Here is a 12558-nt window from a genome sequence, read left to right on the forward strand (position 1 = left end):
GAGCAGTGGGGAGTGGCTGTAAATATAGATGAAGCTTCACTCGCTTGCGCAGGGCCCACCTCCTGCCATGCAGCTTGGCTCCTAGAGGCCATGGACGGGTACCAATCTGTGGCTGGGGGCTGGGGACCCCTGCCCTTGGGGATTCGTGTCTATAGTTTCCTAGAATGTGTTAAGTCTGCCTTGCGTGCTGGGAGAGATGCAAATGCTGTGCCTATAGAAACTGTGTTCCACCTGCTGGGAACACACCAGTGAGGTAGGGCCGGGGCTGCCAGGATGCCAGAGATCCAACTTCCTCTCAGAGAATCGTGCAGGAGTGAGGTAGGGCTGGGCCGCCAGGATGCCAGAGATCCAACTTCCTCTCAGAGAATCTTGCAGGAGTGAGGTAGGGCCGGGGCCGCCAGGATGCCGGAGATCCAACTTCCTCTCAGAGAATCGTGCAGGACCCCTTCCCCGGCCACCTGGGCGAGTTGCCGCTCCTGCCACTTCCTCCTGGGACAGCCTGATGGGGCGGGGCTGAGCGCAGGGCAGAGGGGTGGTCTGGGCCGGCCCTGCCCCTGCCCCCTGGCCCTCAGCCCCCGGGTCCTTGGCTGTCGGTGAGGTGCTCCTGCTCTGTGACTCCGAGACCCACCCGACTTGTCCTCGGCCCCTCGGCGCTGCAGGCCCAGGCCCTGGTAACCAAGTGCAGCTCAGCCTTGCCGCGCGATCCTGCAGCCGCCACTGGGCAGCCCGCTTTGTTCGTGGCCTCCCCACTCTGTGGGTAGCAAATACTGAGTGGGAAAGGAATCTTAGCAGGCGTCGAATTCAGCTCCCCAGCCAGCCCAGTGGGAATCTCTGGCATAGCGCCCAGGAGTGATTGGCTGAGGCTGCACAAACCCCACACGGAAAACATTGCTGGGTTCAGACAGAACCTTGAGAGCAGATTCTTCGTGGTGTGACTCGAATCTCACTGCCTGGGGTTGCCACGGCCCTGTGTTGGCTGAGCGCTCTCTGCTCTGTTTGCCTTGCCCCGGGTTACGGTTTCCAGATATGTCCTGATTCCGATGCTCCTCCTCTGTGCATGGACAGCCCCGGGGATGTTCACAGCAGATGGAGCTGTGCAGACCGGAGCAGACGTCCCCGCCCTGTTCTGGGCGCTGCCTTTACTGCTGTACCTGCTGTGGCAGGCGCGTTGGGGTGATCTTAAGTTGCAGTCACGTGTGTTGCCTTGTGGTCCGACTTTGAATTCTAGCTGCATTCCTTAACTTCCATTAGTATTCAATTTCATTTTTTAGATGCGGTCTTGACTGACCTTGTCAGAGTCCAGGCTCCCGAACTAGTTTGAGATCTGGGACTCAGCAGCACCCGGCACGCTGCCGTCCCTCCTGTTCTTTGGCGCCTTTGACGGGCAGCACATCTTCTGTATTCACACCCGTGCCCTCCGTGGGAGCACCAGGACCCGCCACTGAGCCCCCTCTGGGAGGACCCCGTCACACGCCTGCTGGCTTCCCGATGCAGAGGATACGGCCGAGGGCCCTTTCGCCCCAGGGGACCTGCAAAGGAGGACCTTGGAGGCTCTGGGACGCCCTGCTCAGTGTCCAGGGTTGACTGTGAAGGGCTTCTGTCTGCAGGCCCCAAGGCCACCTTGCCGGCACTCACGGTGGTCTCTGTTGTGGGCGTGAGTTCCATCCTCACCTTTGACCTCTTTCAGATAACCGTTTAGACAGCTCTACAGTCTGACAGCAGCAGCGGTTATTTGAAGGTTTTCATGCTGTGTTGGTTTCCACGTTCGTTACTCATTTCTGCTTATGAGCAGCTTCTGCCTGGGCCCTGCTAGCCCCACCTCACTGCTGCTGTCTGAGGGTGGACAGAGGGCAGCTCCAGGGACGGCCAGGACACGGGTCAGCCTGCTGAGGCCCACACATCTCTGGAAGGTTTTAAATTAAATGTATGTACCTTATTTTAAAGGATGGAAATGTAGAGTGCAAGGGAGGAACATAGAATTCTAAAGGGAAAAGAAGTAAATGCTACATAGGTGCACAGAAAAGGACCTGGGGTCTCTGCAGGGCTCGGGCCCAGGTCTTCCGGCACCTACAGGGACCACGCAAACCCTGGAACACTGTCCTCCGCTTACCGTCACCGTGGAGTTTCCACTGCACATGGCAAGCCCGGTCTTCCCTGGGAGTTCCCAACCCTAGAAGCAGAGGGGACGCAGCCCCCTGGTGTCAGAGCAGGGCAGGGCAGGCCTGGCCCTGTGTGCGCACAGCCCTGTCCCGGCCCTGGGGTGGAGCGTAGGTGTGGGATCACAAGCTCAGGTGTGGGGCCGAAGGTCACAGCGCTCCTCCTGCGGCCTGGACGAGACCCCCTGTGGGGCTGTGAGGGTGGGGTGGAGCCCAAGGCACATAAAGCTGGCACACAACTTCAGCTCAACAAACATGTTATTCAAACTCAGAAGGGGGAAGAAAACTTGCCAAACCAAGAATACTGACTCCCATGAGCCGAAGGCTTTTGGAATTCTCCCCACCCTGCTCTGAGCTGGATTCAGAAGCCGGCTTTCAGGATACACCTTGTGGTCCACCAGTCCTGAGCCGCAGGACTGTGGTCCAGGGCACCACAGTGGTGCAAGATGCAAGGTGCATTCTGCAGAATCAGAGCCCTGAGGCAGTGGCAGCAGCCTCCAGCGGCCCCCAACAGCAGCCCCCATGGCCCCCAGCAGCGGCCCCTAGCAGCCCCCAACAGCCCCCCAGTCTTCCACAGCTTTTCCCACAGGGGTTTTGTGACATGATCTTGATCTGCCTCTTCCTGAAGCCCATTCTGTGAATTCCTCTGCTCGCCATAATTCACTGGGACCCCCATGTCAACACACCCTGTGCTTTGCAGCCATTCATGGACATAGATGGGGCATTGTGAGTCTTGTGTTAGTCATGGGCCTCCTGGAGGTGCCCAGAGGACAGAGAGGAGGGCAGCACCGGAGCTGTGGCTGTGGGGCCAGTCAGATGGGTTTGAACTCAACTCTGGGACCTGCTGGTGGGGCAGCGCTACTTACTGTTTCTCTTTTGAAAAGCAAAAGAAAATAGAATCTACCAGGGTGAGTTGTTGGGATTTAAGATTCAGATCAGTGTGATGCGTGTGTGGGTACACACACATGTCCCGTGTGAGTTGGTCTCCAACTCACCTCAGTGTTCACTTCCTGGAACATAACTACCTGGAGTCATGAGAATGGACCGTATTTTCTTTCTGGCCTTCCAGGAAAAAAATATAAGCTCTAAAAATCATCCTATGATTTTATCCTTCTACTTTCTGAAGCAAATTCATTAGCCCTTCATTGGCCTGAAAAGTGACGTGACAATATTTTCAGTAAACCTGTAACTGAGAAAATAACTTTCCACACTATAAAGAATTAAACAAGAGTGAACTATTGTTTCTGTCTTCACTGCTCAGGTGTGACAGCAATACCTGTCATTATTAATTTCTACCATCAAAACATGTTTCATCCACATGTCATCTTGTTCATCCGTCACATGTCACATGTTCATCTGTGTTCTTCACAGAGTAAAAGCCACCACCAGTCTGTGCGAATCGGAACTGCATGGAAAACCCAATTACTCAGCAGGTACTTAGAACATTTCTTATCTGATCTTTTCCACATGGGTAAAATGTGTTTCTGCCCTTGGAGAGCTTCCCCGCCCAGTGGAGATGTTGGCGTATTCCATGGAAAAGCCATTTTGCAGAGACTTGGTGTCTGTCCTGCTGTGGACAAGTGCCGTTCCTGGGCTCTGGTCTGTGCATTTCTGAGGAGCCGATGGGTCCTGCCTTGCTGAGAACAAGCAACCGTCTTCCAGGAGCTCCTCAGCTCGCACCGTGACGGCTTCCCCCCCCTCTAAACCCCAACAGGAAGGAGCAGCAGAGAGAGCGGCGTTTTGGTGCTCAGGGAACAGACTGACGCTGGCCGATGGGCACAGGTTCCCGCCAGGGCCCCATGCCTGTGCCTCCGGGGTGGCCCTGACCTTGTCCTTGACCCCAAGGGGGGCTCAGGGTAAGTGGTGCCAGGCAGCCTCCCCCAGCCCTGGCAGCTCCCTAAGTCACCGTGGAGGCCAAAGAGCGGGTGGGGGAGTGATTAAGAAGAAAAATAAAAAAGACGACAGCAGCCTTGGCCACCACACGAGCCACAGCTAACCTTACTCTCTGTGGAGCTGTCCACACAGCTTCCCGGACTGGAAGTCACGTGTGTCGCTGGGGACTGACCCCGGGAAGCAGTGGTCCAGGGATGTTGGGAGCGAGGATGCCCCGTGGGCTCTGGGACCCGCCCTCACCTGTCACTCGGACCCTGGGTCACCCGGCTCCAACCTCATCTTGCCTTTGCTCAGAGCCCTCTCTCCCCCCTCTCCCTCCCCAGGGCCTGCCTGCCACCCAGGTGGGCCTCCTCCCCTTTCCTGACCAGCCCAGCTGTGCCCCACAGGCCCCTCCCCACTCTCCAGGTCACCATCTCACAGTCATGCAGTGCCAGTCCCAAGGCACGTGGTGTCCTGTTGGTCAGCAGCAGAGCTTGGCCACAGAAACTGCTGGACATGGTGTTTTCTGCTTTGCAGTTCCCTGGGACCATTTGCACCGCCCTTCCCCACCCCTAACGCTAGTGACTGGTGTGGCTGACACTGGACAGCTGGCATAGGCCTCACAGAGACATCTCCCTGAAGCCTGCACCCTCGCCCCACCCTGGGCCTTCCTCACTCGCCCCAGGCACGCAGTGGGGGTGGGGTGCTGGCACAGCCTCCTGGGCTGCTGGGGGGGTTAGAAGGCACAGCGCAGTGAGGGGTCGGTGTAGCAGCCTTGGCAGATTTAGCATCGTCCTGATTTCGTAGCCTCCCTTAGAGACCCCCACCCAGGGCAGCCAGACCTGGTGTCTTCAGCTGCTGTCAAATGGGCCCCGTCTTTTCTCTGCAGGGACAGGGAGGAGGAGCAGCACAGGATGCTGAGCAGGGCCTCTGGAGTGACAGGGCGGAGGGAGACTCCAGGACCCACAAAGCCCCTGCCCTGGACAGCGGGAAAGCACAGTGAGGATGGTGCCAGGCCGAGGCTGCAGCCCAGCAAGAATGACCCGCCCTCCCTGCGCCCCATGCCCCGCGGCTCCTGCCTGCCCTGCCCGTGTGTCCAGGGCACTTTCAGGAACTCGCCCATCTCTCACCCGCCGAGCCCGTCCCCCAGTGCCTACTCCAGCCGGACCAGCAGACCCATGCGGGATGTCGGTGAGGACCAGGTGCACCCTCCCCTCTGCCACTTTCCCCAGAGGAGCCTGCAGCACCAGCTCCCTCAGCCTGGAGCTCAGCGTTTTGCCACGAGGGGCTATCCCATGGAGGACATGAAGCTGCAAGGTGTACCGATGCCTCCGGGGGACCTGTGTGGTCCGACGCTGCTGCTAGATGTGTCCATCAAGATGGAGAAGGACTCTGGGTGTGAGGGTGCTGCAGACGGCTGTGTGCCCAGCCAGGTGTGGCTGGGGGCCAGTGACAGGAGCCACCCAGCCACCTTCCCTACCAGGATGCACCTGAAAACAGAGCCAGACTCTCGGCAACAGGTGTACATCTCGCACCTGGGGCACGGCGTGCGGGGGGCTCAGCCCCATGGGAGGGCCACTGCTGGGCGCAGCAGGGAGCTGACCCCTTTCCACCCTGCACACTGTGCCTGCCTGGAGCCCACAGACGGCCTTCCCCAGTCGGAGCCTCCCCACCAGCTCTGTGCACGGGGCCGAGGTGAACAGTCCTGCACCTGCAGAGCTGCTGAGGCCGCCCCTGTGGTCAAGCGGGAGCCCTTGGACTCACCCCAGTGGGCTACTCACAGCCAGGGAATGGTGCCCGGGATGTTGCCCAAAAGTGCCTTGGCCACGCTGGTCCCGCCCCAAGCTTCGGGGTGCACATTCCTGCCATAGCGCAGTGACCACCATCCAAGCTCAGATCTGTGTGTCTACGCTCAGATGCGTCGGTGGCTGGGCTGCCCTGCTCCTGGTCAGGCCGGAGCCCGTCCTAAGACACACGCTTTGCAGAGCTGTGCATGCGCAGTCTGCTAGTGTGTGTGTGCAGCATACGCAGGAGCCTATCCTGAATTTTGTAAAATATCCCAACAGTTCTTAAATGAAAACTGGCCTTAAGTCTATTCAAGCATGACAGCATTTCTCTTTGAGGAATTAAAATCTTTAGGAAAGTGATCATGGCTGGACAGCTTCATGCCCCAGAGGCAGCGAGCACCCGTCCCATGGCTGCCAAGTCCACAGTCGGGGATGAAGCAGTCGGGTGATGCTCCCAAGTCCGCAGTCGGGGATGAAGCGGTCGGGTGATGCTCCCAAGTCCGCAGTCGGGGATGAAGCGGTCGGGTGACACACCTAGCTCAGCCCTCCCAGGCCACCTGCAGCTCCCAGCCTGTGCTGTGCAGGCAGGGTCAGCCCATCGCCACAGTGCACTGTAGAGGCCAGCACACGGCAAATTAGAAATACAACACGCGGAGAAAGGGGTCCGTGAGCCCACTCATAGAGGAATCTAGAACGTTCCAGGCAGCAGAGGCTGGCAGCGTGGGTCCCACACTGCCCCACACCGTGCGGCAGGTGCTCCATGGCGCCATGACAGAGTCTGAGGCCAGACCTGGACTGGAATTGACAGCATAACCCCTGTTCCTTCTGGACATCTCCCGAGTTCTCAGTGGGTCTCTGCGGACGGTTCTTCCTAATCTGCCTCTTGGTACATCACGTAATACAGAGTTCACAGACTCCGGGTTTGGAAGTACAGAGAAACACACAACGTAGAGAGAAGACACAGGAAACTGCGCTGCCTGTGGGGGTTTCTCTCTGGCTGGCTGTACAGTTCACTCAAATGAGGGTTCCCATTGCCATCCTAGGAGAATAATTAGGGACAAGACAGACAAGTATTAATAGCATTAAAACAGTTGTAAAGGCGATATTTTCTGAGAGTAGGAAATTTGGATACAAAAGCATAAGTCAGAAAGTGAAGGTCACCAATCCACCAACCCGAGAACCTACAGCTGATGGTGCATTTCAGGCTTCTTCCACGGTCTGGCCTGGAACCCCACCCGGCTGGTGCAGGCATCAGATCAGGGTGTAGAAGTCACCCCAAGCAAGAGGAAGCCAGGCAGTGAGGCCCTGGGGTGTGGCTGCAGCTGGGCCCACCTGTGCGGGGGTGGGAAGGCCCCATCCTCAGGGAGAGGGCATCGGCGCCCTGACGTCAGCTCCACTGGGAGTGGCAGGAGCTGTGGGAGCCCATGGGTGAGGGACCCACCACCCCGCTGCACTGTGCATTGTGCCTCCCGTGTGGACGCCCTCTCTGTTGTTGGCCCGCGGGTGAGGGACCCACCACCCCTAGGGACCCACCACCCCGCCGCACTGTGCATTCTGCCTCCTGTGTGGACGCCCTCTCTGTTGTCAGTGGCTTTGAGGTGTCAGTGCTTACTTAGATGCTGGTTTAATGCTGGACCCATTTGTTAAACGCACCTTCACTTTGTCAAAACCCAGGTTTGGTTGGCAGGACTGGGTCTTCTGCCCAATGCCAGGTGCCTGCGCCTCTCAGTGGCCTGGTTCTTGGACAGTTTGCCCCCATGTGGCAGGGATAGGGATAAGGATCTCCTCTCAGTACTGGAAGAGAACAGCCAACCATCTGAGCCCAGAGTCACAGATCCATCGTGGCCCCCTATGACCCCCAAGCCCTACCGAGGGGGCACTCACTCTCTGCTTAGCCAGGGGGCGTCTTTCAAAAGGTGACCTCCATGCTGTGCTGTCGTGGGTGTGAGACGTGCTCATGGCCTTCCACTGCCATCTCTCCCTTATCTGATGCCTAAAGTCACGATGGGGACAGAGCTACCCAGGGGCCAGCCATGGGGTGACCAGCCACCTGAGGGTCAGTCACCTGTGGAGAGCAGGCACCTGTGAAGACCAGGCACCTGAGGACTGGCGCCTACTTCCCACTTTGGCCCTACACTGGCACAGAGCCCCTCTTTATTCATTTCTCATGCTGAGCATGGCACACTTCTGGCCTCTGGGCATTTATGGATTTAAGACCAGGATGGTATTTCAGAAGCTTCCCACTTCCTTCCTATTCTAACCGAGTGCCCAGCTCCTTTGCTGATCATGGAAAGACCCTTAATAATTAGGCCTGCAGGCCAGGCGCAGTGGCTCATGCCTATAATCCCAGCACTTTAGGAGGTCAAGGTAGGAGGATCGCTTAAGCCCAGGAGTTCAAGACCAGCCTGGGCAACACAGGAAGAATGTGTCTCTACAAAAAATAATTAAAAATCAGATCTGCTGTATCCCTGAAAAAGTCTCAATCAACATGCATGTTCCACTCTTGGAGTTCCCTGTTCTGAGGGCCAGCCACGTCCTGTGTCCTGGAGCTTAGCCCTCAGCAGCTCCCTTCAGCCTGGGCGCCGCCTGGGTCCCAAACGTGGCAGCTGCTCTTCCAGTCTCGGGGCCGAGGAGGGCAGGGAGCTCAGTGACTGAGAGTCTTGTGTATCACATGTCTTGAGTGTCCTGGAGCCAACGGCTGTCACTGGGAAAAACACCAGGCCCCAAAGATCGAATCAGAGACGTGGCTGCGTGTTTGCGATTGTAGCCAGGCCCTTCAGTGTCATCAAAGGAGCACTGGGGCCTCCTTAAGCACAGACGGCAGCCCCTGCCCAGGAGGCTTCTTCACCACGTCCTGCCCTGCAGCCTCCCAGACCTTTAGATGCGCCCCTGCCCAAGGCCCTCCTGGTGACAGGTGCCAGATTGAGTGGTGGGTTGCTGCCAGGCAGGCCACGCTGTGTTGACGCTGCACTCAGCACGTGGGTGTTGGCTCTGCCGGTTTTGTGGTGTGGGGACCCTACAGGAGGCTGCGGCCCTGAGAGCCTGGGATCAGCGAGGTGTCCGACATCCCTTCCTCAACGGCAACAAAAACTCCCCAAGTCAGCACTTTGGTTATTTTATAGCCACAACCCTCTTGGAAAACAGTGGGGAAGACTATGGAACATAGAAAGTGTGGATGTATCACTTCTCTCTAAAATGTCATTGTTAGCACTAATTACAGGTTCATGTTTTTCTGTGTATGTAGCTTTTCCCTATATAGCTGAAAAAGTATTAAAGTCAAATATAAGGTGGGAATGGGATGGAAGGGAGGAGATCAATACAACTTATATTTTTGCAGTTTCTACTGGAAGAAAAAAGTTTTCAATACCTAGACCAACTTGTTGAATTTTTAAAACTTATGCACTATAAATGCAACTTTCTCTACTGCTTTCTCAGTGCCTTTAGGAAGCTTTCAAATTTTTTTGTACTGTGGTTTGTATTAAATTTGCAATATTGATGTAAAATACATGACATGCTAGTACATGTTTAACAAAAATTTAAATGTTTGCGGAAGTCTGCGTGATTTTCCAAAGTCACTTTATTTCCTTTAAAGAGTGTGCTGGTTAATCTACATTCTAAGACAGCCTTTCACCACTAAATATAAGGCAGCAATAAAAATAAAAACTCTAGAGCCGCAAGCCTCGTGAAGGAGGAGAAAATGCCTGCCATCTCCCTGCTCCTGACCAGTGGCATCTAGAGAGGGCCTAGGCCCCCCTCCCCTGTCACTGAGGGTCAGGGCCCCTCCTGGGTGCTCTCAGGACGTCCCAGACCTGACCCGTCCTGTAAGAAGTGAGGAGGGTAGAGCTGAGGGCACTGTGGGTCCGGGGCCATGCGGGGTCCACCCTGCCTGGCACAGGGCCTGCACGACAAGCCCATGGGAAGGGGGAAGGGCCCAGGCAGATTACGGCCAGACCCCTCAATGCCATCGAAAAAAGTGCTGGGGTCTCCTTAAGCACAAACGGCAGTCCAAGGCCCAGGGAGCTGCGCTTTTGTTTCCTTTCAGGCATCTTTAGAGCCTGCGCAGCCCCTGCCAGGCCTCCTTCGCACCCTGCAGCCCATCAGCAAACCCGTCCTGGTCACTCGTGTAAGACTCCCGTGTCCTCCCCCAGGACCAGGCCAGCCCTCCCATCTGTGGCCCCACAACTTGACCCACCCTGCCCCCCATGCCCTCTCCTCTGTGGCCTCAGGCAGATGGAGTTCCCGCATTTTCACTCCTCACCCCCAGTCTGGCTTCTGCTGAGTGTGCCTGTGTGGAGTTGGAACGCATACAATTCTTTTTTCTTTTCTTTTCTTTTTTTTTCCTGAGATGGAGTCTCACTCTGCTGCCTAGGCTGGAGTGCAGTGGTGCAGTCTCGGCTCACTGCAGCCTCCACTTCTCAGGTTTAAGTGATTCTCCCACCTCAGCCTCCAGAGTAGCTGGGACTACAGGCATCCACCACCACGCCCAGCTAATTTTTGTATTTTTAGTAGAGACTGGGTTTCACCTTGTTGGCCTGGCTGGTCTAAAACTCCTGGCCTCACATGATCAGCCTACCTCGGCCTCCCAAAATGCTGGAATTACAGATGTGAGCCACCACGCCCAGCTGGACGCACACAATTTCATCTCACCAGGCGCTGCCCAGCGTCCTCCAGAGGGGCTGCACCCACTTGGCCTCCCTTCTACCAGCCACACCTCCTGGGCTCCCATCCTCACCCCACACTGGCACCTGTGTGGACAGACTTTTTCAGTCTTGGGCTTCTGAAGGGATGAAACGGCAGCTGTTTTATGTGCATTTTGTTTATTCATTCGGCATATTTTTAGTCCTTGTTGAGTATCAGGCCCTGCACCAGTGCTGGGGACGCATTCAGGAGAAAACGATGCAGACATCAGTGCTGTCCCAGAGCTGGCGTCTGAACATGTGTGATGTGCGGTGTGTGCGTGTGCAGGGGGAAGGGGTGCAGGCAGCTGAACGTGACCATGAGAACCCCGTAAACTCTGCGGGGCATGGAGGGGACCGGTGCTTTGCAGGTGCACAGAGCTGGGGCTGGGGGTGGCCCAGGTCTTTGGGGGCAGTTTTATGCAGGACGTATGGACGGCTGGAGCTGAATAGCGAGTGGGGGAGGCTGCATGGCCGCAGTGAGGTCTGGCTGACAATAGAGCAGGGCCTGGGTCATGGCTCATGGTCTGGTCAGGTCAACGGACACCCTAGTCATGGCTCAGAGGCTTCAGCAGGGCCCCGTGGGGAGGGTGTGGGGACAAGGTCTCCCTGAAGGCCGAGGGAAGCAGCTTATTCCCCGGAGCCAGTGGCTCTTGTCCTTTACCCGTTTCTTGCTGCACTTGTTTGCCCTTTTAGATCAATTTGCAGGAGTTCTGTTTTTATTCTGGATAGCAATTTTCTTGTCAGTTACAGATGCTGACAATGTTTTCCCTCAGTCTGTGGCTTGGCTTTTCACTTAAGGATTTAAAAATTATATCCCACAAGAGTTTAAGATTTTAATATAGCAACTTTTCTATTTTATTCTTTATGGCTTATGCATTTTGCATCTTAGGAAAATAACTATCTTTGACAGTGGCTTTTGACCAAAAACCCATGTTGTTTGATATTCATATCCCCACACCAGCTTCTCGGGCCTGGCTGACCCACGTGTGAAAAGCCTCCAGTTCTAATCGTTGTTTCTTGATGCTTTAGATGTTCGCCTATGAATGTTTCACTGTTTCTAATCCACTTACTTGTGTTCTCATTACTGATACATTTCAACACAGGGTCCTCATCTTCTCCTTGCCTGCAGTCTCTGTGCTGTTGCCTGCATTTTCTCTCTTCCTGTTTCTATTTCTGTAGTGGCTAACCTTAATGTGGGCATTTAACAAGGTCTAAGCAGGAGCTAAGCACGGTCTCTATTCTCCCAGAGCAGGGTCAGGACTGTGGGTGCTTCAGTGCCCTCCCCTCCCTCCCCCTCGAGTTTGCTCCTGTCAAGGTGGAGGAGGATCCCTCTAGCAATGACCCTGGGTTGGCTTCCGCCGAGGGCTGAGTTTAGGAACAGTCTCCAGGCTGTTGCTGTTTTCCTAGTCCACGCTTTCACTGAGGATGCATCCCTTGCACATCTGTGCTTCACATGGGAGTCGCCGTCCACCTCCCACCTGCTGGGAGCCTTAGCTTCATCATCTGTCCTGCTTCAGTGTAAAACCCAACCCCTGGGCCGCAGAACTCGCACCCTACCCACCCACCTGCCTGCTGTAGGACGGCAAGCATCTCTGCTTCTGATTCACGTCCTCTCCCCTTCCCACATTTGTCCCTGGTCACGTCCTTGCCTGTTCGTGAATCCACTTGTGCAATCGACATGATGCTTGCACTCAGCAGTGCTCCTGGGTGTTCGCAGAACATGGTCTGCCAAAAACAGAAGTCAAGAAACTTTTTTTTTTGAGACAGATTCTCCCTCTGTCACCCAGGCTGGAGTGTAGTGGTGCCATCTCAGTTCACTGCAACCTCCTCCTCCCGGGTTGAAGCCATTCTCCTGCCTCAGCCTCCCAGGGAGCTGAGATTACAGGCATGCACCACCATGCCTGGCTAATTTTTGTGGGGTTTTTTTTGGTAGAGATGGGGTTCCTACCAAAAAGACCATGTTGCCCAGGCTGGTCTCAAACTCCTGGGCTCAAGGGGTCTGCCCATCTCAGCCTCCCAAAGTGCTGGGATTACAGTTAGGAGCCACTGCGCCCAGCCAATAAA

The 12558-nt window shown here is 55.8% G+C and overlaps 1 protein-coding gene and 1 long non-coding RNA gene across 4 annotated transcripts in view, besides 5 other annotated features; both read left to right on the forward strand.

Annotated features, from left to right (window-relative positions):
- The window catches only part of PDCD6-AHRR (PDCD6-AHRR readthrough (NMD candidate)), a 166640-nt gene extending 157290 nt beyond the window's left edge, over positions 1–9350 (forward strand). For both annotated transcript variants that reach the window (NR_165159.2, NR_165163.2), the window contains 3 exons: positions 3528–3589; positions 3871–4012; positions 4918–9350. This is a non-coding gene — a long non-coding RNA (PDCD6-AHRR readthrough (NMD candidate)). The remainder of the gene's footprint in view (positions 1–3527; positions 3590–3870; positions 4013–4917) is intronic.
- Positions 1–9350, forward strand: part of AHRR (aryl hydrocarbon receptor repressor) — a 116572-nt gene extending 107222 nt beyond the window's left edge. For both annotated transcript variants that reach the window (NM_001377236.1, NM_001377239.1), the window contains exons 9-11: positions 3528–3589; positions 3871–4012; positions 4918–9350. In NM_001377236.1, the coding sequence (NP_001364165.1) occupies positions 3528–3589; positions 3871–4012; positions 4918–5899 (1186 nt within the window). In that variant the 3' untranslated portion in view covers positions 5900–9350. The remainder of the gene's footprint in view (positions 1–3527; positions 3590–3870; positions 4013–4917) is intronic.
- Positions 1923–2202: an enhancer, noted in NCBI's record as "active region_22285". NCBI's record gives its function as "activates an Ori minimal core promoter by ATAC-STARR-seq in GM12878 lymphoblastoid cells {active_cell/tissue: GM12878}" and the evidence as "EXISTENCE:reporter gene assay evidence [ECO:0000049][PMID:35858748]".
- Positions 2343–2462: an enhancer, noted in NCBI's record as "active region_22286". NCBI's record gives its function as "activates an Ori minimal core promoter by ATAC-STARR-seq in GM12878 lymphoblastoid cells {active_cell/tissue: GM12878}" and the evidence as "EXISTENCE:reporter gene assay evidence [ECO:0000049][PMID:35858748]".
- Positions 11583–11732: an enhancer, noted in NCBI's record as "active region_22287". NCBI's record gives its function as "activates an Ori minimal core promoter by ATAC-STARR-seq in GM12878 lymphoblastoid cells {active_cell/tissue: GM12878}" and the evidence as "EXISTENCE:reporter gene assay evidence [ECO:0000049][PMID:35858748]".
- Positions 11973–12032: an enhancer, noted in NCBI's record as "active region_22288". NCBI's record gives its function as "activates an Ori minimal core promoter by ATAC-STARR-seq in GM12878 lymphoblastoid cells {active_cell/tissue: GM12878}" and the evidence as "EXISTENCE:reporter gene assay evidence [ECO:0000049][PMID:35858748]".
- Positions 12043–12102: an enhancer, noted in NCBI's record as "active region_22289". NCBI's record gives its function as "activates an Ori minimal core promoter by ATAC-STARR-seq in GM12878 lymphoblastoid cells {active_cell/tissue: GM12878}" and the evidence as "EXISTENCE:reporter gene assay evidence [ECO:0000049][PMID:35858748]".

This window comes from Homo sapiens, chromosome 5 (genome assembly GCF_000001405.40).
Source record: "Homo sapiens chromosome 5, GRCh38.p14 Primary Assembly".
Taxonomy (NCBI): domain Eukaryota; kingdom Metazoa; phylum Chordata; class Mammalia; order Primates; family Hominidae; genus Homo; species Homo sapiens.